The sequence below is a fragment of the Homo sapiens genome, chromosome 7, assembly GCF_000001405.40.
Source record: "Homo sapiens chromosome 7, GRCh38.p14 Primary Assembly".
Lineage (NCBI taxonomy): Eukaryota > Metazoa > Chordata > Mammalia > Primates > Hominidae > Homo > Homo sapiens.
The window spans coordinates 8220487-8247886 of record NC_000007.14 but is presented as its reverse complement, the minus strand read 5'-3'; the positions used below and the strand labels follow the sequence as shown (position 1 = coordinate 8247886).

General features: G+C 39.3%; 1 protein-coding gene across 37 annotated transcripts in view, besides 1 other annotated feature; it reads left to right on the top strand.

Annotated features, from left to right (window-relative positions):
- Nucleotides 1–27400, top strand: part of ICA1 (islet cell autoantigen 1) — a 149372-nt gene that overhangs the window by 14669 nt on the left and 107303 nt on the right. For 11 of the 37 annotated variants that reach the window (NR_146927.2, NR_146929.2, NM_001350831.2 and 8 more), the window contains exons 2-5: nt 11882–11977; nt 15132–15297; nt 19214–19286; nt 26489–26612. Coding sequence is in view for 31 of the 37 variants with exons in the window: in NM_001350831.2 (NP_001337760.1) it covers nt 11961–11977; nt 15132–15297; nt 19214–19286; nt 26489–26612 (380 nt within the window). In the remaining 6 variants the exon portion in view is untranslated. Of the gene's footprint in view, nt 1–11881; nt 11978–15131; nt 15298–19213; nt 19287–20035; nt 20250–26488; nt 26613–27400 lie in introns of those variants that run through there. The other 26 variants (NR_146928.2, NR_146926.2, NM_001276478.2 and 23 more) reach the window with 6 other exon arrangements.
- Nucleotides 25839–26395: an enhancer, noted in NCBI's record as "OCT4-NANOG-H3K27ac hESC enhancer chr7:8261122-8261678 (GRCh37/hg19 assembly coordinates)". NCBI's record gives its function as "activates a minimal SCP1, AML or CMV promoter by ChIP-STARR-seq in naive H9 embryonic stem cells {active_cell/tissue: H9 hESC(naive)}" and the evidence as "EXISTENCE:reporter gene assay evidence [ECO:0000049][PMID:30033119]".

Here is a 27400-nt window from a genome sequence, read left to right as displayed (position 1 = left end):
ACTACTGATCTTAGCTTTACTCTGAACAAGGATTGGCTCAAGAATTTTAGATTCTTTGCATAATTCAAAAGTAATCAGAAGTGCCATCAGCTAACTTCACTGCCTTGAAGAAATGCATAGAAAAAGTTCTAGGTCAGAACAAGCGTTCATTGCAGTGGAAGCCAGCTTATGTGGAATGAAAATGCCTTCCTAGATTATATTTCCAAGGAGAAGAATCTGGTATCTGGGTTCAAGGCAGCTAGGGAAAAACTGACTCCTGTCCACTTTGTGGCAATGAATCAAACTCTGTACTTAAAACCTGGCTTGTTTTAGCATTCTGTGTACCTTTGGGTGTTAGGAAAAAACTACTATGCATGTCTTATGGCCAAGCTGTCCAGCTTGTTCAAAATGGCTTGTTTTGTTTTTTTTCTTTTTTCTTTTCTTTTTTGATACAGGATCTCACTCTGTCACCCAGGCTGGAGTGCAGTGGCTCCATCATGGCTCTCTGCAGCCTTGACCTCCTGGGCTCGATTGATCCTCCCATGTCAGCCTCCTGAGTAGCTGGGACTACAGGCGTGTGCCACCGTGTCTAGCTAATTTCTTCTTCTAATTATTTTTTTGTAGAGACAGAGTTCACTGTGTTCACAAGGCTGGTCTCAAACTCCTGGGCTCAAGCGTTCCACTTGCCTTGGCCTCCCAAAGTTCTGGGATTACAGGCATGAGGCATCACATCCAGCCTAAAATGGTTTTTAAATGGCTCTAGCAAGTAATGACAAGTGGGACGATTGCTGTAGTCTTTTGCCCATCTACACGGGGGAATAAAATTGAGGACTCAGCACAGCAAGCATATATGAAAAGGAAAGGCCAGGCATGGTGGTTCACGCCTGTAATCCCAGCACTTTGGGAGGCCAAGGCGGGTGGATCATGAGGTCAGGAGATTGAGACCATCCTGGCTAACACGGTGAAACCCCATCTCTACTAAAAATACAAAAACTTAGCCAGGCGTTGTGGCACATGCCTGTAGTTCCAGCTACTCGGGAGGCTGAGGCAAGAGAATCGCTTGAACCCAGGAGGCAGAGGTTGTGGTGAGCCGAGATCGCACCACTATACTCCAGCCTGGGTGACAGAGCGAGACTCCGTCTCAAAAAATAAAAGGAAAAATGAGCATAGTTATTGCACAGGAGCACAGGATCCCAACAGAAAACCTGAACAAAGTGTCCTTCCCCACTGTTCTCTCAATTCTTCCCACAGAGCAAGGTGGTTTCTCAGTCAAATGGATGTGGCTGAGAACAACTATGGTTTTAATGCCTGGCTTTGGACCATGAGGTGAATATATTGTAACCCCATCAAGGTGCAGTCTAGGAAAATCTAAAGGGATTAGGTTGGTAGTCTCAGTGTCACCTAAGAAGAAGGTGCTGACCTCAGCAGCAGTTCCACCTCTGAGCAGGAAGTTGCCTTTCCTTCACCTATATTTCTGCCTTAGACACAGAGCCTCCTCCTCACCAACTCATTCCCACACTCCCCAGGTTGTTATATCAAAATTAGAAACTTGCTTTCCATTGATCTATTCATCCTTGGGCCTCTGCTTCTTTGAGCAGATCTTAATTATTGGTGCAACTGCTTTGTCTTCTTTGAGGAAACAGTTTAACTGTGAAACACAAACATTCATGCGATCAAGTTGTGCTGACTGTGACAATATCTTGGCGCTCACAGTCCATCAGCATCTTGTTACTTGCCCTTCTTTGCTTATCTCCCAAGGTAAGATGACCACAAGCAGATCTTTAGGACATCTTTTCTGTGTCATTAAAAAGCTGGAGATGTGACACCATTCTTTCTGGGCTTGTTTCATAAGGGCCTTGTGGCAGAAGTGGAGAAATAGCTTCCATTGCAGAATCATGAAGTATTAGCTAATCATAGACTTTATTCAATTTTACAGGGAAAATATTTTTACAGCAGAATTTGCAAATTTGGGGATTCATTAAGGGGACATTGTTATATGTCCCTTGCAAATGTCAAGGCTCTACTGATTCTGGAAATTATATATCTGTCTTTACTGCGAAACTTGTACTGTTCAATATGGTATCCACTAACCCCGTGTGGCTCTTGAGTACTTAATATGGCTAGTGTGAATTGAGATTTGCTGAAAGTATAACATACTATATTTTAAACTTGGTACAAAAATATTAGTGTAAAATGTATCACTCATTTTTATATTGGTTATATGTTGAAATAATAATTTAGATATATTGGGTTAAAATATATAAACATTAATTTCACTGTTTTTAAATTTTTTTAACATGGCTATTAGAACATTTAAACTCATAGTATAATTCTTTTTTAATTATTATTATTATACTTTAAGTTCTAGGGTACATGAGCACAACGTGCAGGCTCATTACATAAGTATACATGTGCCATGCTGGCCCACTGTACCCATCAACCTGTCATTTAAATTAGGTATTTCTCCAAATGCCATCCCTGCCCCCACCCCCCACCCCACAACAGGCCCCAGTGTGTGATGTTTCTACCCAGTGACCAAGTGTTCTCATTGTTCTATTCCCACCTATGAGTGAGAACATGTGGTGCTTGGATTTCTGTCCTTGTGATAGTTTGCTCAGAGTGATGGTTTCCAGCTTCATCCATGTCCTTGCAAAGGACATGAACTCATCCTTTTTTATGGCTGCATAGTATTCCATGGTGTATATGTGCCGCATTTTCTTAATCCGCTCTACCATTGATGGACATTTGTATTGGTTCCAAGTCGTTGGTATTGTGAATAGTGCCGCAGTAAACATACGTGTGCATGTGTCTTTATAGCAGCATGATTTATAATCCTTTGGGTATATACCCAGTAATGGGATCACTGGGTCAAATGGTATTTCTAGTTCTAGATCCTTGAGGAATCACCACACTGTCTTCCACAATAGTTGAACTAGTTTACACTCCCCACCAACAGTGTAAAAGTGTTCCTGTTTCTCCACATCCTCTCCAGCACCTGTTGTTTCCTGACTTTTTAATGATCACCATTCTAACAGGTGTGAGATGGTATCTCACTGTGGTTTTGATTTGCATTTCTCTGATGACCAATGATGATGAGCATTTTTTCATGTGTCTGTTAGCTGCATAAATGTATTCTTTTGTGAAGTGTCTGTTCATATCCTTTGCCCACTTTTTGATGGGGTTGTTTGCTTTTTTCTTGTAAATTTGTTTACATTCTTTGTCGATTCTGGATATTATCCCTTTATCAGATGGGTAGATTGCAAAAATTTTCTCCCATTGTGTAGGTTGCCTGTTTACTCTGATGGCAGTTTCTTTTGCTGTGCAGAAGCTCTTTAGTTTAATTAGATCCCATGTGTGTATTTTGGCTTTTGTTGCCATTGCTTTTGGTGTTTTAGTCATGAAGTCCTTGCCCATGCCTATGTCCTGAATGGTATTGCCTAGGTTTTCCTCTAGGGTTTTTATGGTTGTAGGTCTAACATTTAAGTCTTTAATCCATCTTGAATTAATTTTTGTATAAAGTGTAAGGAAGGGATCCAGTTTCAGCTTTCTACATATAGCTAGCCAGTTTTCCCAGCACCATTTATTAAATAGGGAATCCTTTCCCCATTTCTTGTTTTTGTCAGATTTGTCAAAGATCAGATAGCTGTAGATGTGTGGTGTATTTCTGAGTTCTGTGTTCTGTTCCATTGGTCTATATCTCTGTTTTCATACCAGTACCATGCTGTTTTGGTTACTGTAGCTTTGTAGTATAGTTTGAAGTCAGGTAGCGTGATGCCTCCAGGTTTGTTCTTCTTGCCCAGGATTGTCTTGGCAATGCAGGCTCTTTTTTGATTCCATATGAACTTTAAAGTAGTTTTTTTCCAATTCTGTGAAGAAAGTCATATGGGGATAGCATTGAATCTATAAATTACCTTGGGCAGTATGGCCATTTTCACAATATTGATTCTTCCTATCCATGAGCATGGAATGTTCTTCCATTTGTTTGTGTCCTCTTTTATTTCGTTGAGCAGTGGTTTGTAGTTCTCCTTGAAGAGGTCCTTCACATCCCTTGTAAGTTGGATTCCTGGGTATTTTATTCTCTTCGTAGCAATTGTGAATGGGAGTTCACTCATGATTTGGCTCTCTGTTTGTCTGTTATTGGTGTATAGGAACGCTTATGATTTTTGCACATTGATTTTGTATCCTGAGACTTTGCTGAAGTTGCTTGTCTGCTTAAGGAGATTTGGGGCTGAGACAATGGGGTTTTCTAAATATACAATCATGTCATCTGCAAACAGGGACAATTAGACTTCTTCTTTTCCTAATTGAATATGCTTTATTGCTTTCTCTTGCCTGATTGCCCTGGCCAGAACTTCCAACACTATGTTGAATGGGAGTGGTGAGAGAGGACATCCCTGTCTTGTGCCAGTTTTCAGAGGGAATGCTTCCAGTTTTTGCCCTTTCAGTATGATATTGGCTGTGGGTTTGTCATAAATAGCTCTTATTATTTTGAGATACGTTCCATCAATACCTAGTTTATTGAGAGTTTTTAGCATGAAGCATTGTTGAATTTTGTCAAAGGCCTTTTCTGCATCCATTGAGATAATCATGTGGTTTTTGTCGATGATTCTGTTTATGTGATGGATTACGTGTATTGATTTGTGTATGTTGAACCAGCCTTGCATTCCAGGGATGAAGCCGACTTGATTGTGGTGGATAAGCTTTTTGATGTGCTGCTGGATTCCGTTTGCCAGTATTTTATTGAGGATTTTCACACTGATGTTTATCAGGGATATAGGTCTAAAATTCCCTTTTTTTGTTGTGTCTCTGCCAGGCTTTGGTATCAGGATGATGCTGGCCTCATAAAATGAGTTAAGGAGGATTCCCTCTTTTTCTATTGATTGGAATAGTTTCAGAAGAAATGGTACCAGCTCCTCTTTGTACCTCTGGTAGAATTCGGCTGTGAATCCGTCTGGTCCTGGACTTTTTTTGGTTGGTAGGCTATTAATTATTGCCTCAATTTCAGAGCCTGTTATTGGTCTATTCAGAGATTCAATTTCTTCCTGGTTTTAGTCTTGGGAGGGTGTATGTGTCCAGGAATTCATCCATTTCTTCTAGATTTTCTAGTTTATTTGCATCGAGGTGTTTATAGTATTCTCTGATGGTAGTTTGTATTTCTGTGGGATCGGTGGTGATATCCCCTTTATCATTTTTTATTGCATCTGTTTGATTCTTCTCTCTTTTCTTCTTTATTAGTCTTGCTAGTGATCTATCAATTTTGTTGATCTTTTCAAAAAACCAGCTCCTGGATTCATTGATTTTTTGAAGGGTTTTTTGTGTCTTATCTCCTTCAGTTCTGCTCTGATCTTAGTTATTTCTTGCCTTCTGCTAGCATTTGAATTTGTTTGCTCTTGCTTCTCTAGTTCTTTTAATTGTGATGTTAGGGTGTCAATTTTAGATCTTTCCTGCTTTCTCTTGTGGGCACTTAGTGCTATAAATTTCCCTCTATACACTGCTTTAAATGTGTCCCAGAGATTCTGGTACATTGTGTCTTTGTTCTCTTTGGTTTCAAAGAACATCTTTATGTCTGCCTTCATTTCATTATTTACCCAGTAGTCATTCAGGAGCAGATAGTTCAGTTTGCATGTAGTTGTGTCATTTTGAGTGAGTTTCTTAATCCTGAATTCTAATTTGATTGCACTGTGGTCTGAGAGACAGTTTGTTGTGACTTGTGTTCTTTTTCATTTGCTGAGGAGTGCTTTTTTCCAGTTATGTGTTCAATTTTGGAATAAGTGTGATGTGGTGCTGAGAAGAATGTATATTCTGTTGATTTGGGGTGGAGAGTTCTGTAGATGTCTATTAGGTCTGCTTGGTGCAGAGCTGAGTTCAAGTCCTGGATATCCTTGTTAACCTTCTGTCTCGTTGATCTGTGTAATGTTGACAGTGGGGTGTTAAAGTCTCCCATTATTATTGTGTGGGAGTCTAAGTCTCTTTGTAGGTCTTGAAGGATTTGCTTTATGAATCTGGGTGCTCTTGTATTGGGTGCATATATATTTAGGATAGTTAACTCTTCTTGTCGAATTGACCCCTTTACCATTATGTAATGGCCTTCTTTGTCTCTTTTGATCTTTGTTGGTTTAAAGTATGTTTTATCAGAGACTAGGATTGCAACCCCTGCTGTTTTTTTGCTTTCCATTTGTTTGGTAGATGTTCCTCCATCCCTTTATTTTGAGCCTATGTGTGTCTCTGTCTGTGAGATGGGTCTCCTGAATACAGCACACTGATGGGTCTTGACTCTTTATCCAATTTGCCAGTCTGTGTCTTTTAATTGGGGCATTTAGCCCATTTACAATAAGGTTAATATTGTTATGTGTGAATTTAATCTGTCATTATGATGTTAGCTGGTTATTTTGCCTATTAGTTGATGCAGTTTCTTCCTAGCATCGATGGTCTTTACAATTTGGCATGTTTTTGCAGTGGCTGGTACCAGTCATTCCTTTCCATGTTTAGTGCTTCCTTCAGGAGCTCTTGTAAGGTAGACCTGGTGGTGACAAAAATCTCTCAGCATTTGCTTTTCTGTAAAGGATTTTATTTCTCCTTCACTTATGAAGCTTAGTTTGCCTGGATATGAAATTCTGGATTGAAAATTCTTTTCTTTAAGAATGTTGAATATTGGCCCCCACTCGCTTCTGGCTTGTAGAGTTTCTGCTGAGAGATCTGCTATTAGTCTGATGGGCTTCCCTTTGTGGGTAACCCAACCTTTCTCTCTGGCTGCCCTTAACATTTTTTCCTTCATTTCAACCTTGGTGAATCTGACAGTTATGTGTCTTGGGGTTGCTCTTCTCAAGGAGTATCTCTGTGGTGTTCTCTGTAATTCCTGAATTTGAATATTGGCCTGCCTTGCTAGGTTGGGGAAATTCTCCTGGATAATATCCTGAAGACTGTTTTCCAGCTTGGTTCCATTCTCCCCGTCACTTTCAGGTACACCAGTCAAGCATAGATTTGGTCTTTTCACATAGTCCCTTATTTCTTGGAGGCTTTGCTAGTTACTTTTTACTCTTTTTTCTCTAAACTTTTCTTCTCGCTTTATTTCGTTAATTTGATTCAATCACTGATACCTACCCTTTCTTCCACTTGATTGAATCAGCTGTTGAAGCTTGTAAATGCGTCACGTAGTTCTCCTGCCATGGTTTTCAGCTCCATCAGGTCATTTAAGTCTTCTCTACACTGTTTATTTGAGTTACTCATTCGTCTGATCTTTTTTTCAAGGTTTTTAGCTTCCTTGCAATGGGTTTGAACAGTCTCCTTTAGCTCGGAGAAGTTTGTTATTACCAACCTTCTGAAGCCTACTTCTGTCAGCTCGTCAAAGTCATTCTCCATCCAACTTTGTTCCTTTGCTGGCAAGGGGCTGCGATCCTTTGGAGGAGAAGATGCGCTCTGGTTTTTAGAATTTTCAGCTTTTCTGCTCTGGTTTCTGCTCTGGTTTTATCTACCCTTGGTCTTTGATGTTGATGACCTACAGATGGGGTTTTGGTGTGAATGTCCTTTTTGTTGATGTTGGTGCTGTTCCTTTCTGTTTGTTAGTTTTCCTTCTAACAGTCAGGTCCCTCAGCTGCAGGTTTGTTGGAGTTTGCTGGAGGTCCACTCCAGACTCTGTTTGCCTGGGTATCGCCAGCAGAGGCTGCAGAATAGCAAATATTGCAGAACAGCAAATATTGCTGCCTGATCCTTCCTCTGGAAGCTTCGTCCCAGAGGGGCACCCACCTGTATAAGGTGTCTGTCAGCCCCTACTGGGAGGTGTCTCCCAGTTAGGCTACATGGGGGTCAGGGACCTACTTGAGGAGGCAGTCTGTCCATTCTCAGAGCTCAGTGCTGGGAGAACCACTGCTCTCTTCAGAGCTGTCAGACAGGGACGTTTAAGTCTGCAGAAGTTTCTGCTGCCTTTTGTTCAGCGATGCCCTTCCCCCAGAGGTGGAATGTACAGAGGCAACAGGCCTTGCTGAGCTGCAGTGGGTTCCGCCCAGTTCAAGCTTCCCTGGCCGCTTTGTTTACCTACTCATGCCTCAGCAATGGCAGACGCCCCTGCCCCAGCTAGGCTGACACCTCGCAGTTCTATCTCAGACTGCTGTGCTAGCAGTGAGCAAGGCTTCATGGGCATGGGACCTGCCGAGCCAGGCGTGGGATATAAACTCCTGGTGTGCCATTTGCTGAGACTGTTGGAAAAGTGCAGTATTTGGGCGGCAGTGTCCCGATTTTCCAGGTACAGTCTGTCATGCCTTCCCTCAGCTTGGAAAGGGAAATCCCCCGACCCCTTGCACTTCCTGGGTGAGAAGATGCCCTGCCCTGTTTCGGCTCACCCTCTGTGGGTTGCACCCACTGTCAACCAGTCCCAATGAGATGAACCAGGTACCTCAGCTGGAAATGCAGAAATCACCCATCTTCTGCGTCAGCCACGCTGGGAGCTGCAGACTGGAGCTATTCCTATTCGGCCGTCTTGGAATGTGCTCATAGTCTATTTCTATTGGACAGAGCTGATCTATATTTGAGGCCAGGAAGAGTGACTGGCATGTACTCATTTGATGCTCAGTTTATGTCTGATAAACCAAACTGTTGAACTGAAATGAATGGATAACAATTATAATGATTTTTTAAAGTAGCAATTTAAATGCTGTGGATTTGGAAAGTGATAGAGCAAAACAAGATAGATTATGTCAGGAAATCTTAAGATGTTTATTAATTGTCTCTGGTATGTAGAGTTAGAACATATATAAAAAGAGATGTTAGCACTGGCTCCAGCTGCCTTCTCATGAGGCGTTCAGATGTACCCTGCAGAGCTGACCTTATTTTGACCACTTATGATTCCTTTGCTCCTGTGCCTATGATCCAGTAGTTTGTTCAAGAAAGACCAATTTCCAAAAATATTTTCCCTGTGTGCCATTTAGCTGTGGTTCTCATACTTTAATGTGCTTAAGAATGACTTGCAAAGCCTATTATAAAACTAGATTCCCAGAATCATTCTCAGAGATGCTATTTCACTAGGAAAGGAGTGGGGTCTAGGATTCTGTATATTAGTATCCCCGGAAGATTTCAATGCAAGTGGCTGTTAAACAATACCTTGAGGAACACTGCCGTATGGTATCATGATCTGGGAATAGCCTGGAAATCTAGGTAGAAGGGGCAATTTGCTCAGCAATTTTTGTTAACTATAACTATAAATAACACATACTATAAGAACTTACACTATGAAGGATTTAAATTAAAAGGCATTTTAATAAGCAAAAATTAATTAAAAAGTCATAGTAAAGGAAATAGTCAACAGAGTGAAAAGCTAACCTACAGAATATGAGAAAATATTTGCAAACCATATATTGGATAAGGGATCAATATCTGGAATATATAGAGAACTCCTGCAATAACTCCTGCAAATTAAGTTGGGTCAATAACAAAATGACCCAATTTAAAAATGGGCAAAAGACCTGCATAGACATTTCTCCAAAGAAAATATACAAATGGCAAAAAAATATGAAAAGATGCACAACATCACTAATCAGAGAACTGTAAACCAAAACCATGAGATATCACCTCACAATGCTTCGGATGGCTATTATTTTTAAAAATGGAAACAAACATTAACAAGGATGTGGAGAAAGTGGGACCCTTGCATACCATCAGTGGGCTTGAAATGGTGCAGCTGCTGTGGAAAACAATAGGCAGTTTCCTCAAAAAATTAAGTAGAGAACTGTATAATCCAGCAGTCCAAATTCTGTGTATTTGTGCAAAAGAATTGAATACAGGATCTCAGAGAGATACATTAAGACCTCATTTAATGTCATTGATAGTTCTTGGAAACTGCAACTTTAGGCAAAACGACATAAGCCATTTTTTTCTTATCAATATTATTATGAAACAGTGTTATTCTGGACCTGTGTATATCACTTTGCCTATAGTTGCAGCTTCCAAGAACCTGTCAATGAATTTGACACTGTATACTGTGTTTATTGCAGCATTATTCCCAATAGCCAAGATGTGAAAGCAACCTAAATATCCATTGACACATGAATGGTTAAAGAAAATGGTGTGTGTGTGTGTGTGTGTGTGTGTGTGTGTGTCTGTCTTCAACATTGCATATACAATGCAATATCATTCAGCCTTAAAAAGGAAGTCCTGTCATATACTACAACACAGATGAACCTTAAATGCATTATGCTAAGTGAAATAAGCCAATCACAAGAACACAAATACTGAGTGTTTGCATTTTTATGAGGTATCTAAAGTAGTCAAATTCATAGAATCAGAAACTAGAATAGTGGTTGCTGGGGGCTGTGGGAGGGGAAAATGGGGAGTTGTTCAATGGGTGTAGAATTTCCATCATGCAAGATGAAAAAGTTCTAGAGATCTGTTGTACAACAAAGTGTATATTGTTAGCACTACTATACTGTACACTTTTAAATTAAAAGAATAAACTTTTTTACCATAATAAAAATATTAATCAAAAAGTACCAACTATCCTAATAGTTCATGGTGACATTGAACTCAAGAGAAGAATATGATAATTCCATTTCCTTTGAACACCCTCTTTTTATGAAAAAATTTGTTGGAAATTTCAAGCTAACTAAAGTAAATGTGTACTTACAGTGAAGCTGTCTGGGTGGTGAGAGGACTGGGTGTTGGTAGCCTCTCCATGATGCACTGAGTGGAGGGCAGAGCTTACTTACTTACCCTGAATGTCATTCCCAAAAGCAGCTCGTCCAGATATTTGGATGCTCTCCACAAGGAAGAGAGATGTTCACTGCAGGATGCTGTCATATCAGAGGCATCTGACACTCTGGAAATTCTCTTCTTCCTCTCTCTTGTCTGCATACCTGAAGCGTGGGATTTGCACATCGTAATTTTGTCCCCTTGAAATGTTTTTAAATAGCCTAGGAAAGCTTTAATCACTTTAGGAGTACTGGTTGCCAGGATCCTTTCTGAGACCAAAGGAGAATGATTGGATTGATTTTGTGAAGCAGTCTGGGCATTCATATGCTGTGAGCACTCACTCTGGCAGCTAGAGGTTTTGCCTCTGGCCAGTGACCATTCCTTTGAGTAGTGAGCTTTCTGTTCTTTCCAGTAACTGCTGGCAAGTGGGCTAATGTGGCTGGGCTGGTGGGCCCTGGGGTGGGCTAGCTTCCATGAGTGGAGCAAATGGAGTAAGGGCAGAGACATTGACTCCAGTATTTACTAACGAGATAAATATACAAGGCTAGGCTGGTAGATACCTATTTTCCACCTTTGTGCCCTTCTTGCTATCTTATTCAAGCATATCAACCCTTTTTTGGTTTTTATTTGGGGTTTTAAAATTTTGTTCTATTTTTGTTTCTATTTTTGCAATGTGCTGGTTTGTTTCTTTAAAAATGTTGATTATAAAATATTTCAAATCTGTAAGGAGGCATACAGATGCAATATATTCACCACCTAGCTTCACAAAGAGAACACTATGTGTGCACTTGAAGCTGCTGTATATCTCTCTCACATCACATCCCACACCATCTCCTGCCGTGGTCTGCTGTCTGGAACTTAGTGTTCATCATTCCTAAGCAATTCTTTATACCTTCACCTTATAATATTGTATACCTCAACAACATATAGTATTGTTTTACATATTTTTAAGCTTTATATAAATGATATTATATTTTATGTAGTCTTCTGCAACCTGCTTTTTCATTCAATCTGCCTGTTCACTTTTTAAACTTTATTTGGAATATTTCTTCCAGTGTTACTTAGCTATATTGTTGTCATCACCAGTGTGCAGCATTACTGTGTAACAGTGTTAGACCCTAAAATACAGCTAGAAATGGCTTAGGTTGAAGGCTTTTATGTGTGTCACATTAATATGTAACTATAATATGGTGTGTAACTATTAAACATATTTGTTTTATTTCAGGTTATAATATAACTTATCCTCTCATGCTTTTTTCCTGCCCCTTCTCCCCAAATCATCAACAATAGAAGAAGAAGAAAACATGTCAGGACACAAATGGTAAGTAATTTGTCATCTTTTCTGAATTGGGAAAGTAGAAAGCATATAGCATATGATCAATAAACATCTATTGAATGGAAAAACAAGAGATACATTGGCAGTAAGTATCATGTTAGCCCTCACCAATGCTGAGCCAAATTCAGTATCTCTGTTAAATATGGTGTGAAAACCAAGTAACAAAAATATTGTAAATTCTTACCTAATGTGCATTCTCTAAGAAATTCATTTATGTGTAACTTTTCTCTTGGGAACCTACTGATAGTTTTTCTTACCACCATTTTGTCTAATGTAATGAGTTGATGCGTTTTTATTACTATCTTATTTATAACTTCTAACATTAGAGTTACAAGGGAATTTTATGTTAGGGTAGCTATAAAATAAAGAATGATTCTACAACCACACACGACTCGTGCTTATTAATTTAGAGTCATGACTTCAACCTTCCTGAACATTCAGGAGCCAATTATTGTCAAAAGTAAATGATGCTGAATAAAGTAGATGTGGTAACCATTTGGCAATGTTAGCGCTGACATTTATGTGCCTATAACATATCTGAGCAGCATGTTAAACCTCTTGTAAGGTCCAGAGCTCTTCAAGCAGTGTTTCCAAATTCTTTTGAACCCATGACCCACCAAGCAAGCAGATCTTTGTGAACTTTTATTTTCTTTAATTTGTATCATGAAAAACAAATGTGTTACATATTTTTCAAATGCACAATTAATTATAATAATACATTTTTTTTTTTTGAGATGGAGTCTCACTCTGTCACCCAGGCTGGAGTTCAGTGGTGCAATCTCAGCTCACTGCAACCTCCGCCTCCCTGGTTCAAGTGATTCTCCTGCCTCAGCCTCCCGAGTAGCTGGGATTACAGGCATGTGCCACCACGCCTGGCTAATTTTTGTATTTTTAGTACAGACGGGGTTTCACCATGTTGGCCAGGATGGTCTCGATCTCTTGACCTCATGATCTGCCCACCTCAGCCTCCCAAAGTGCTGGGATTACAGGCATGAGCCACCGCGCCCGGCCAAAGAAATCCATTCTATGGCCCACTCTTGAGAATGCCATTCCCCTAAAATAATCAGTCTTTGGAGTGTATCCTTCCAACCTTTTAATGTGCATATTCTATAGAGAGATTATCTTTTACATAAGTTTTATACATTATCTTATTTTCTCTGATATGAGCTCATAATACGACTTTTAAATAATGCAGAAAGATATAAAGTAGACCATGAAAGTCTCCCATAATCCTACTTCTCTCTCCAAAGATAACCATTGTTAAGGAAGTCATCAGAAATGCCTTCTGGCTTTTTAAGAATAAATGTGTAAATTGAAAATTGTAAACTTAATGAAATTGTAAATGAAGGAAAGTAGGTTTTGAGATACTGGTATTTTGATATAGTCATATAAACAAACTCACGTTTCAGCACAAGCCTGGCACATTTTGGGTGGTGATGGGATGGGGTAGAGGAAAGTACATCTCCACAGAGGAGAGTTGCCTGGGGGGGTCAGGGGAGCCTTTGGGGCAGGGACTCTAGGTCCAAAGAGGATGTGGACGAAGCAAGGGGAGGGATGGAACTCCATCAGCAAACTTTCCAGCCATATTTGGGGTACTCCAATCACTTTTACACAATTCCATTTCATTTTCAATTACTTTTGTTTCTTTTCTCTTTTTTCTTCTCTTTTTTCTTTTTTGAGGGACAGGGTCTCGCCCCGTATCCCAGGATGAAGTGCAGTGGTGTGATCACGGCTCCCTGCAGCCTCAAACTCCTGGACTTGAACAATCCACCCACTTCAGTCTGCTGAGTAGCTTTGTGTCATAGGCCTGTGCCACCACACCTGACTAATTATTTGTAGAGATGGGGTTTTACTATGTTGCCCAGGCTGATCTGAAACTCCTGGCCTCAAGCAGTCCTCCTGCCTGGGCCTTCCAAAGTGCTAGAATTAAAGGCATGAGCCACCATGCCCGGCCAGTTTCTAATTTTTTCTCCACATACTTTTTGATTTGCTCTTCACTGTGATCCTCCTGAAAAATGGCTTTTCATCTATATTTTAAGCATTTATATGGAAGAGTTTAAAGTTTTTAACATCAGAAGCCTGCAACCAATTTTAAATTTATTTTATTGTTATTTTATTGTGGTAAGAACAGTTAACATGAAGTCAACCGTCTTAAATTTTAGGTGCACAATACAGTATTGTTAACAATAGGCACCATGGGGCTGGGCGCGGTGGCTCATATCTGTAATCCCAGCAGTTTGGGAGGCTGAGGAGGGCGGATCATCTGAGGTCAGGAGTTGGAGACCAGCCTGGCCAACATAGTGAAACCCCATCTGTACTAAAAACATACAAAAAGTAGCTGGGCGTGGTAGCATGTGCCTATAATCCCAGCTACTCAGGAGGCCTAGGCAGGAGAATCGCTTGAACCTGGAAGGCAGAGGCTGCAGTGAGCTGAGATCACGCCACTGCACTCCAGTCTGGGCAACAGGAGTGAAAGTCCATCTCAAAAAAAAAAAAAAAATACCAAGAATAAGCACCATGTCACACAGCAGATCTCTAGAGCTTATTCATCTTGCATAACTGAAACCTTATGCACCTTGAATAGTAATTTCTCATTTCTTCCTACCTTCTAGCCACTCGTAACTGCCATTCTACTCTCTGCTTCTGTGAGTTTGACTATTTTAGATTTCTCTGTAACAGATCTTAGGCATGCTGTTCTTCAGCCTCTTATCTCTGCTTTCCTGCCATCACCTCAGTGTTGGCTGTAGTGTTAGAGTGGAGAGAGTGTGTTGGTGTCTGGCTTTATCTCTGACTCACTGAGGTAACTTGGGCCAGTCACCCTGCCTGGCTTGATCTCACTGTCTCCACCTCTAAAAGGGGTGTGCTTAGTCTGTTATATCTACATTCTTTTCAAGGGTTAGTTTCTTTATTTCCTGCAAAAGATTCTAAATTTCTCCACTCTGACTTTTAAGGTTTTTGAGTCAGAAAGAGTTGATGAACTTCCTTGGTGTAACACCCAGATAAGAAAGTGCTCATACGTTTATCAATGTTGTAAATGTAAATGCATAATGGAAAGTCATGTTTAAAGAAATCATTTCACACTAAAATATCTTAATCTTTATGAAAGGTGTGAATAAAATAGTTCTTTAAATGTTTTTAGCAGTTATCCCTGGGACTTACAGGATCGATATGCTCAAGATAAGTCAGTTGTAAATAAGATGCAACAGAAATATTGGGAGACGAAGCAGGCCTTTATTAAAGCCACAGGGAAGAAGGAAGATGAACATGTTGTTGCCTCTGACGCGGACCTGGATGCCAAGCTAGAGGTGAGCTCTTTATTGCTGTCAGCCCCAACACAGCCACCTTGCTAGGATCAAGGTCCTAGAGTATACTCACTGAGGCAGAGCTGGGTGTGCTTTGTATTTGAAAATGAGGAAAATCTAGGATTAGGTAAACTCAATCCCAGCATATTTATTAAAACCTGCAAATTCTCACATAACCACCATGCCTCAGTTACTCTGTATTTTAAGAACATAGTCGCCATGTATTGCCTGTGGTAAATTCTCAGTAAGCGTTTCTTGGGAAAAGGAATGCAGTCAAAGAGCTGCTGCTTGCTGGTCAGAGCTGAGGAGTCAGATTTAGAACACTAGAATCTGGCAAATGTTAAATTTTTTTAAAAGAAGAACTCAGGTAAAACGTCGTGGAAAGTAGAGTCTAATAAGTTTTGTATTGGACCCTGGAAAATTCTAAAATGAATAAGGAGATATTTAGTTAGACTAGTTAACAATATAGTAAGCTGGATTTAGATATGGTTGATCTAGCATATTAATATAAGAAGGCCCACTAACTAACTCCCTGTCTTGCTGGACATTTCTGCCAATAGTTTAGATTAAAATTTTGAAAGCATACCTATCATTTCTATAAATAACAGGGCACTGAGAGGAATAATATCTTAGATGGTCTGATAAGGATTCAAAATGAACTCAGATTTTAATATATACACTAAGGTTAATGAACTGAACATTTAATGGGACTAAAAAAGCCCAAGATTTCAAAAAGTTTTCGGAGTGTCCAGAATGGTGGAAACCATAGTTATTCTACATCAGAGAGGGTTAAGGGGAAATGTTAGTTGTCAATTACTGTCATGTGAAAAGGGATGAGATTGATTCTAAGCACATGAGGGTAGACCAGACCCAGGAAGAACTTTGTAATGTTAAGGCTGCCCCGTGAGAACTGGGCTGCCTTTGAGGTTAGGACTAACCCTGTGAGATGGATCTGGGCTACTATTGTACCTACTATCTGCTGTAACTTTAGGAGAACTATACCCAGTTTCTCATATCCTCGTTTTCTTAATGCATGAAATAGAGATATTAATACCTACTTATTACAGCTATTATCAAGATTAAAGTAGGTAACAGAGTGATGGCTAAGGTTTATTAGTGTTTATAAATATTATACTAACATATTTATAAACATGACTAATGTTTATTAATAATTAATGTTTATGAGTGTGTTTTATGTCTCAGGAACCATTTAGACTGCATTCCATATGGTATCTCTAGTACATAGCAAAGCTCCTGACCCACTGGCCCTGCCTCCCCATCCTGCATTTCCTCTCTCCCACACGCTTACATTGCCCTCACCACCAGCCAGCTATGATGGCCTTGTCTCAGTTCTCAGTCCACAACCAGCCAAGTTCACACCCATCAGAGCATTTGCTGGCTTCCACCTGGACACTGTTTCCCCACATCTTCCCTTCTCATAGTTCAGGTTTCAGCCTAAAGGTCACGCTGTTTCGAGTCACTGCCTGTCCACCCCTGCTCCCCACCTACCCCACCCCTGCTCACTGTCTAACACCTGGCCATGTTTTATTTTATTCGTAGTACTCATCTCTCATTGAATTATCTCAGGTGTTCATCTGTTTGCCCACCTTCCCTCCACTATGAGATCAAATTCCATGTTAGCCTATTCACGACGTATCCCCAGCCACACATAGAATACACATTCAATAAGTACCAACTGAATAAGGGTATGTGTTAGTGCAATTAATATCAGTTCTCAGCCCTTTCCTTCTGCAATTGGAAATTTTGAAATAGAAACTGGGTTTGACAAGGATGTTCTAATGGAGATTTCTGCAATGGAGGAAAGTAGAACCAGGAAGCATCTGTTTCGATTGTTATATTCTAAGTACAGTGTAAATTATTATAAGCATATATGCTTTTTATATCTCATAGTATTTTCTTCTTAAGAACCTAGTAAATACATGCATTATTCAAAAGGTAATTTAATATGTTAATTACAAATATATTAAACATTATATTTTGGCTGAACCAAATGTACCTTAATCAAAATAGCTGCTGTCCTAGGTATGTAGCATCCATTGTACTTAGCTGTGACAAATAATTTAGCACATGATAGAGGTTTCTGTTGCAGAAATGTTAATACTGATGTTGATGTTTATAGAGAGGATGGATTCCATCCATGAAATATACAAAAATGATGTGAAAACCTCTTTGATGTTCGTACCTTGAGTTATCCATAGAAGGCTAACTTATAAACCAAGAAGTTTTATTCTTCTGGCACAGAAAACTTGTGTTCCAAGCTATAATATTGGTCAGATTCTATTGCAATCTGTTGGAAAGTTAATATAGAAATATTGCGCTGAGTTTTAATATTTGTCCACGTTGCTTGCTAATGAAATCCTTTTCTGAAAAACAGCTCTTCAGTACAATAACAGACAAAAGTAATCTCTGCTGACAGAAGTCTTCTTGCCAGAGTCACTGTGCCACAGCAGAGTGGACTGATTAGATGATGGAAATGTTTCTTATCTTGCCTTGGGCATGATTATGTTAGTATATATAATTGTCATAACTCACAGAACTGAACACTCCAGAGCTGTGCACTGTAGTGCATTTAATTTATACCTCAATTTTTAAAAAGTGAACAGTAACAACAGAACAACTCCTAAACATACTTTTTGAACGTCCTTGCTCCTATATTCAGGAAATACTATGTGTTAGTGGGTTTTGATCCAGAATACTGATATAAAACACTTGCTAAGGGACAGATTCAGACTGCTGATTTTCTCTTTTGTTTTATGGCTCTTTACTAAACAGGTGGAAGATGCAATTTAACAAAATGAGAATTAGCAAATTTATATTCTTTATAACCAAGTTTTATATGAAGCATTCCTAGAAATGGTTTAATGTTTTAAGTATATATGCATGCATCTGTTTTTATTAATTTAGTCATATTTATAATGAAACAGATCATCTGTGTTCACGCAAATGTAGAAGTGCTTTATGATACCAATATATAATTTCTGCACCACCATAGCCAGTGAACTAGGAGAGAGAAAGAGGGAAAACCTTGCCCTGCCTTACTGAGTGGCTCTACAGAGGCAAGATGTTTATCTTCCAGGTTTTCTCATTGATACCATATCTGGTCCCTAAGTTAGTGGGCAAAGGGTGGAGAAAGTGTGAAGTCTGTTCTGTCTTTTCTTGAGCTATCTCAGTTTCTGAAACAAAGGCTGGAACCGCCACGCATTGAAATCAAGTTAGATTCTTCTCAGCACAGCCCCATCTGCCTATCCCCCAGTTTCCGCTAGTATGGCCACAGCATGGCATTATATTTTCTCTCTGTATGGTTTATGAAATTGTTGGGAAAATAAGGAGTGATGGGGACTGCTTGCCCAACATCATTTTATCAGATGTTTTCTAAATAGACAGGACATCCAGCTGATTGATTTTGTTTGCTTTATCCAGTTGTTTAAGCATGCCATAAAATACATTAGGATCACAAAATAAGTTAACGTCATCTTTTAAATATGCTTAATTGACAGATCCCCCATTAAAAAAAAACCACAGCAAGTGGTGAAAGGAATAAATTTGATTATGAATGAATATTGGGTCTCTGGTTTACCAAGTCCTCTAACTAGGCCCTTCACTTAGGATGTCTGTTTTTTGTTTTTCAGCTATTATTTCAGTAGACTGGGAGAAATAACTGTTCTGCAGATCTTAATTTAGATCACAGAGATGATGAATTCCAATAAATACAGAATAATAGGAGATATTTAAAGGCTTTGGTCACAGTTTCTGTATAGTACACCGCATAACACTAAGCATACTTAGACATGTGGTCTTGTTTTTGGCAAATTGAACACTCTGGTTGTGTTCAATGTAATTATTTTTTATCTCACCACTGTCTGTTTTATTTTGCATTTTGTTTGTATTTTTATTACAGCTGTTTCATTCAATTCAGAGAACCTGTCTGGACTTATCGAAAGCAATTGTACTCTATCAAAAGAGGATATGTTGTAAGTATGACATCAGTATGAATATTGATCAAATAGTAAGAAATAGCAGGGTATTTTGTCTTGATACATCATTTCATATGCTTAGGAAACTAAGAGTGTTTGTCTGTGTCTTCAGGCGTTGGGAGGAGAGTCTCTAATAATTTTACCAATAATATACATAGCTTATTTATCTTTCAAAGCAAGTATCATATTAGGAGAATTCTGTTTGGATCTCCCATGGATATGGACATGCCATTTATTTTCCCAATTATAAAAGAGTTTTCTCAGTTTGTATCTTGGGCTTTTTACCTTCAGGTTTTTTTTTAATGTGATTATCTTCACTCTCTGATATCCAATTTTGTTCCTTTTAAGATAAGAGACAGAAGGCACATACAGTTGATTTGTTGATGACATTTTGTTGACAACATTTCTTCATGAATGTTTTTTGCATTGGATATTAGGTTCCTACAGAACAATATTTTCATATAGTCACACTGTTTTAAAAGCATTAACAACAAAGTTATCTCTGAAATACTAAATATCAATTATGTGTTTGTACATTTTTAAGTTTCCATTTGTAGGTCATTTTAATAATATAATGTATATATTTTTGAGACTAGACTATGGGAAGTCTTTCTGTTGCTGACTGCTGCCAAACCCCTTTTCAGTAATCACAAATTAATAATTGGTCATTTTTCTACATCAGTAATATTTTATTAAGACAATCATTTTGGTAGGCTGGGTGCATTGTCTGACATCTGTAATCCCAGCATTTTAGGAGGCCAAGGCAGGAGGATCACTTGGAGCCAGGAGTTTGAGACCAGCCTGGGCAACAAAGTGAGACCCCCATCTCTACAAAAAATAAAAACACTTAAAAATTATCCGGGTACCGTGCATGTGCAGTCCCAGCTACTCAGGAGGCTGAGGCAGGAGGATCACAGTGACCTATAATGAGCCGTTGTGCTCCAGCCTGGGCGACAGAAGGTGAGATCTCTTAGAAAAAAAAAAAAAAAAAAGACAACTACTTCAGGAAAGTCCAAAATCATTGTATGTAGAGGCAGTATTTTATAAATTATCTATGTTAGTATTTCCTAAGTGTTTGAGGTAAGACTTCTCCAGGGCTCCACCTCCAGGTCTTGATCTGTGAGCAAATTAAGACACATGACCGCCACTCCCCCATTTATCTTCCCCACATTCAGTCAGTCTCAAATGCTGGTATTTTGCCTCCTAAATAGCTCGCAGATTCTCCTTCCTCTCTCCATCTTCTCTGCCACTACCTTGGTTCAGGCCACCACCATTAGTCTCTCACTTGGTTTACTAACCATTTTCCTCACTGATCTTGCCTCCACCTCTGCTTTCTCTAGCCTATTGTCTGCACTGCTTTCAATCAAAGTACACTTTTAAACCCGATCAGATTCTTCCTTGGCTTAAACCTTGTGTTCTGGAAACTATTGGTCAAACTCCTTCTTACTATACCCACCATCCCCCTAGCACTCACCATGAAATGAATCATTTTCATTGTTATGGTAGAAAACAAAATAATTTAGAAAATTGTAACTTTATTTTTTTAAGTAAGTCACATGAAGTTGGTGTGTCCACTTTTCATTAAACAATATATATTGTAACAAGGGAAGAAAAGAAGGATGCTTGCATATTTCCTGTAAATAGTGATTCTCTAAACAGAAATTATGCTTCCTACGTATATTAGTGTTTCTAAAAGAATATAGAGGAAAAACTTCCCCCTAAACCACCTCAGATTAGTTAATAGAATTATAGTTGAACACCATGAAGGCTCATAATTATCTTGTAATATAAAGGGTTAGAATAATGTCCCCACCGTTGAAGCAGTCACCTGGTTGTGCCAGCAGAGCTGGCTGTGGATGGTAGATAAGCCCTTTTATGTCTACCCGCTAAGCTCACATGAGCCATGCCATCTCAGCAGAGACAGGAAGGAGGAGTTCTGCCCTGTGTGGACTTGAAAGAGATCCCAACTTTGATGGAAGACTAAAAATAGTGTGGTTAATTTGAGGATGTTGCTATGTAGCTGTCAAAGACACAAAAATGAGGAAAATCTGTGAACTAATATGGAGTGATTTGGAGGATATGCTTTTAAGTGAAAGAAGCAAAACATAAAAGCGTATCTATAGTATGCTATCCTTCATGCAAGCAAGAAGGTGATATAAAATATAAATGTAAAAAAAGGTAATATATGGAGAGTGTGTGTATTACCATTTTTTTACATTGCATCACATTTTACCATCTATATCTATATCTATATCTAGAGAGCAAGCCTGCTCATTGTGCAAAGGAAATTTAGGAAGGATAAACCAGAAACGAAAGAGACTGGATACCAGTGGTGGATGAGGAGTGGGGAAGGGTTGGAGAGGAGGGAATGAGAATGGAGGAGCAAAGGTGAAGAGGGAGCTATGAGATACCTTCCCATAGCTCTGATTCATAAAACCATAGTAACATTTCATAGACTCAAAAAATACTTAAACCCAGCCAGATGTGGGAAAATCTAAAATGGAATACAAACAGTAGCAAATGAACCTGATTGCATTATAAATGAATAACATTGTCACAGTGATCAGAATCAGAAAAAAAAAGAACTAACCTCAGTAGTTTTGGAACATAATTATTTTTAACTAGATACTGAGGCTAAACACAAAAATAATTATACATGGAAGCCGTACTCTCATTGGTAAATTTGTTTCTTATAGGAATATGGGTTAGCAATGCTGAAACTACATTATGCAAATATTGAAGTTGAATAGATAAGATATTGCAGATGATGAGAGCCAGGTTTCTCACTCTGTACTTTAGAAAGAAGTTACAGATAAAAGGAGAAGCTAGAAGGAACACTGTGGTGTTGCACTGTCATCAAAGGTGCCACTATGAAGCCATTGTTTTTAATATCTATACAGATAGATACATACAGAAATAGATGCAGATGAGGGTGTATGCATGGGTTAGTGTACATTCATATATTTCCTGCTTCTGTGAGCTGACATGACCTAGAAGCACTAACGCTCCATAGCAGTGAGTACATCTGGCACCCAGATCTTGCTTTCTAAATACCTTTTCCCAGTAAAAGAAATGCTCCTTGGAGAAGTGGTTGATTCTAGGATTGGGGCAGGGAAAATTCAAGATGCACCTATATTGTTTGTAGCACTAGAACATAAGGAAGTGCTTGAAAAAGGATATGTTGAAAGGACACAGGTGCAAACCTGTGATCAAAGCTGGCACAATTTGAGCAACAAACTAAATAATGACAGTTTTGAATTATAACCCATAGAATAAAATTAATTTCCCTTAAATCTATATGAAGAGAGAGAGATAAATGGTGGAGAAGGGACAGCTTTTTCTCATAAAATAATTTCAGTTAATTAATAGAAAGAATGAGGGAACTACAAAATCACCATTAGGCAAACACCACAGTGAGAATTGTGACAGGTGAGATTCACTGAAGAGTGTTAGAATTAGTGAGTGAAAGTTTGAGGAGAAAATGGACATTTGCATTGTCTCATGTATTCCCCCGAAGATCTGTAATGATTACAAAAGGAAAAAAACATTCTTAACTTTGCAGTGGAGAAACCCAGCAGATACCTCCTTAACCAAGTGGTTGAGCTTGACATCATGAGTGATGAGGAACACTGATGTCATGTAACCTCTGATGCTGTGCACTAAGAAAGACACTTCACCATTGTGTATCCTTCCCAAATATCTGTAACCACAGTCTAATTCTGAGAAATCAGACAAACCAAATTGAGGCACATTCTACAAAATATCTGACCAGTACTCTTAAAATATGTCAAAGTCATGAAAGATAAAGACTAAGGAACGGTCACAGATTTAAGGAAACTAAGGACACTCAATGTTTTGGTGCCAGGTGAGACCCTAGATTGGATCCTGTAACAGAAAAAGAATGTCAATGAAAAAACTGGTAAAATTCAAATAAGGGCTGTAGGTTAGTTGATAGTATTATACCAGTGTTAATTTCCTAATGTTGATTATTGTGCCATGATTATGTAAAATGTAAATATAAGGGGATGCTAGGGAAGAGTAAGTACTAGGGGATGTTAGGGAAATGTATACAGGAACTCTATATACTGTTTGTAATTTTTCTGTAAGTCTATCATTATTTCAAACTAAAAGGTTTAATACATGTAAATTGGATCACATTGCTCCCCTACTTTTAAAAGCCTCCAATAACACATAAAATGGAATCCGACTCCCATTCTTATACATAGGACGTGATCTGGCCCCAGTTCACCTCTTCAGTCACCTTTTCCCTTGTCCACCAAACTCCCAAGGCCTTTTGCACTGGGTGTTCCTGCTGCCTGGAAGGTCCCTGCTCTCATAGTCCCAAGGCTATCGTCATTCAGAACTCAGCCTAATGGTCAGCTGCTCAGAGATGCCTTCCCTGATTACCTTGTCTAAGGCACCTACTGACCGCTCACTCTTAACTCCCCATCTCTCATTGCTCTGCCTGGTATTTTTCTTTTTTGTGTTTCGTGTTTGTGATTATGTTTTATTTTCTATCTCCTGCTGCTTGAATATAAGCTCTGTAAGTGTGGGGAACTCCTTTATCCTCTTCATCACTGTATTCCAGTGGCAAGAACTGTGCCTCGTATGTGTTGGATCATCCATAAATCTGTGCTGAGTGAGTTAATGCTGTCCAGCTAATTAATTTCATAGTTCCATAGTTGCCTTGTTTTTAACGGCACATCTGAAAACCTAATTAGCAAGTAAATATAAAAATGTTTTTGTCTCTGAATTCTCAAGTCCCAGATAATTGAAACCTTATTAATAGAACATTTTGAGTTATCTTTTTTTGTTTTTGCTTTCTTCTTGTAATAGAGACAGGGGTCTTGCTATGTTGCACAGGCTGGTCTTGAACTCCTAGTATCAAGCAATCCTCCTGCCTCTACCTCCCAAAAGTGCTGGGACTGCAGGTGTGAACCACCACACTCAGCCCTTTTGCGTTACCTGATACCTATGTTATACCTGAATTTTAAACTTCTGTAAGTTAATTTCAGTATTTGAATTTTTAAAATTAAAGAATGACCATCCCTTCTCAGAAAATCTAACCTTGACCCTGATGGAGCTCACACTTCTTTCCACTGCCCTCTGAGTAAGTATTGCCAAGTAATCAGAGTCAGCACCTAAAATGAAACCTGTTTGCTGCCCCAAGTTGATCCACAAGTGCCTAAAATGACCGAAAATTATTTTTAAATGTTTCAGCCTACTTAGGTTTATTTAGGAAAGAGTACATTTTGTCAACCATGTAATTATTCAGGTACCACAAATTGGTTTCTTCCTAGCCTTAAGCTAAATGCATTCATTTGTATGTGACTTGAGACTTCAAGGTAAAAAGGGTGACAGTAGCCTCACACGATTAAGATCAAAAATGAGACATTGCTTTCCATAGGGAAAGATTCATTGTGGAATTGAGTGAGGCACATATTAATCAGTGGGGAGGAGAAGGAATGGAATGTATTAAAAAACAAAAAACCTTCTTATAATTATAGGAATTTTAAAAAGCTACATAGAACCATGGCGTGAGTATTAAAAGGCAATAAGTATTTCAACTGAAATAAAGTGTATGAGGATAACAAGGCAAAATTGTAGTCAATTCAATTCACAAGCATTTAATTAGCACCGTGAATTTAAGACTTTATGCTCAGCCTGGGGAATACAAAGTTTGGGTGAGATCCCTGTCTTGGAAAGCTTAGAGCCCCCTGGGGAAGAGAGACACATGCCCAGTCACACAAGGTGAGTGCTAAGTCAGGTGCCCAGAGAGCACTGCTGTCCGGAGAAATAGGGATCAATTGCTTCACAGAGAAAGGAACCTGCGAGCAGGCCTTTGATGGTGAACTTGATTTTTGAGAGACAGAAGAGAAGCAGGGTCATCATTTATCTCTCAGGAAAAATGGATTCTAAAAGCCTCTTCTTGACTGGGCCTTCCCAAGGGAATGTTTAGGGTGAAACTATAGTCACAAATTAATAAGGTAGCAGTATCGAGTTTAGCCTTCACCTTTGGATTTGTGGTTCCTGCCTAATGTCCTACAATTATTGTTAGTGAGATTATGTCAGGAATGGGGGTGCATTCTTAAAGAAAAGTGACTGGTTTGTGAAAGCTGACAAGAATCCTAGTAGCATTTAGAAAGCAGTTTTAGAGACACAGGGTATGTAAATACATCAATACAGAAATAGGAAATAAAAGTAGTGTTCAAAGTATGTTGATAGTAAATGCTGTGTTTAGGGGGAAAGCACATCCGAGGAAGCTAAGTGTCACTCTGGTGCCTGTGGCTTGGCTGCTGGTGTGTGTTCAGGACCCCCACTGTACCATTATGTGGGTATGCTGTATTTTATTAAACTAGTTCCTAGTATAAGGAGAGTGTTTCACTATTATAAATAATGATGCTATGATTGTTTTTGCATTTACATCTTTGTGCCCATTTTGCTACTTCCTTAGGAAGTTCTCCTAACAGTAGACATGGAGAGTCCAAAGATACATGTAATTCTATGATTTTTTAAATGTTTACCGTCAAATCAGTCTGCAGAAAGCTTGCACCAAATCACTTACCCACCAATAATACCATCTGAGGTTGTCTTTAAAAATAAGGCCAAGATTAGGCATCACCAATTCAGATTTGGTTCCAGCTCTGTATTTTTAAAACCCACTGTCATCAACCTGATGACCTCCCCACCCTCCGTCCCTACCCCCACTTCCAACCAAAAACCTGTGTCACAGCTGAGGTATTTGAATTGCTTTACAATGGAATAGAATGTAACTCAAAAAGCAGAGATCAAAAGTCAGCAGGAGAGAATAATGAGAGGCAGCTAGCACTGCATCCTAGGCAGCCACAAAAGATTCCCACAGTCATACTTGACAAACCCAACTCCTTTATTTCAGCTCGAAGCCGCACACTATGGGCTTACGTTTCAGTACAGAGGTCATTTTCTAGTTCTGATTACAGGGCACCAAACTCACTGACAGATGTATTCAAGTGAATTTGATCTCTCGTATTGTAAATGGAAGAACAGCCTGAAAGTTAAATGGGGGGTAGGGGGAGCTTACCCTGTAGCCTGCCGCTTAGATTTAATTTCATCTCGTCTTCGCCTCTGGAAGAGAGAGGACCTTGTGATTTGTCTTTCTTGTTCCCTTTGCAATCAAAATGCTCATTGTTCATGGCTCCTTTTGGTCTTTTCTTCATCAGTCTTGTCTCAAGAAGAAAACGAACTGGGAAAATTTCTTCGATCCCAAGGTTTCCAAGATAAAACCAGAGCAGGAAAGATGATGCAAGCGACAGGAAAGGCCCTCTGCTTTTCTTCCCAGCAAAGGTGTGTGGCCTTTAGTGGGGTTCTATCTGGGGGGATCTGAGGAGACTCCGGGACCCACCTACTCACGAAAGGGAATCTCACAGTGTTCTTTAGAAGGATTTTGCCTGAGGCTGAGGAGCTGCTCTGTACTCACTAGTTAGGCAGTTTGTACTTAACTCTCTAATTAAGATTAACACATAGGATTTTTTTTTCCTCCCTATTAATTAAAAAAAATTTTTTTTCATTTTTCTGTTGGTCTGTAGGGGCATTATATATGTCAATCACTATGAGTGCTGTCCTAGGCTTATGTTTGACCTTCAGTGTTGCTTGTAGCAATCAGTCTGGTCCCCTTCCAGCAGCTGATTAAAGCAGGAGCCTAATGAGACCAGGTTGAAGGGTTCCCTCTCTGCTCTCTGTGGACCAATTAACTTCAGAGAGGTGCTGTTCTCATGCCCAGGTCCACACTGCTCAGACCCTGGACCATAACCCGGGAGTGTGTTAGAAATGCAGAATGTAGGCCCTACCCCAGACATGCAGGATCCACATCCACATTTTAACTAGACCGCTGTTGTTTTGATGTAAATTCAAGTTTGCGAAGCTCTGGTACAGGGAAAATTGTGGTAGATGAGTGGCATTTTTTTTTAACACAACCGTGACTCATTTTTATGGTGGATGTTAAATAAGCAGGAGCCCCTGCACACAGTCACTCTCTGCGCCTGAGAAAAGTGACACTCCTCCTCGTTCCCTTCTCTCCCAGTAACTAACAAACCCCCAAAATGTCACTCACTAGTAGTAGGCAGAATGTAGGT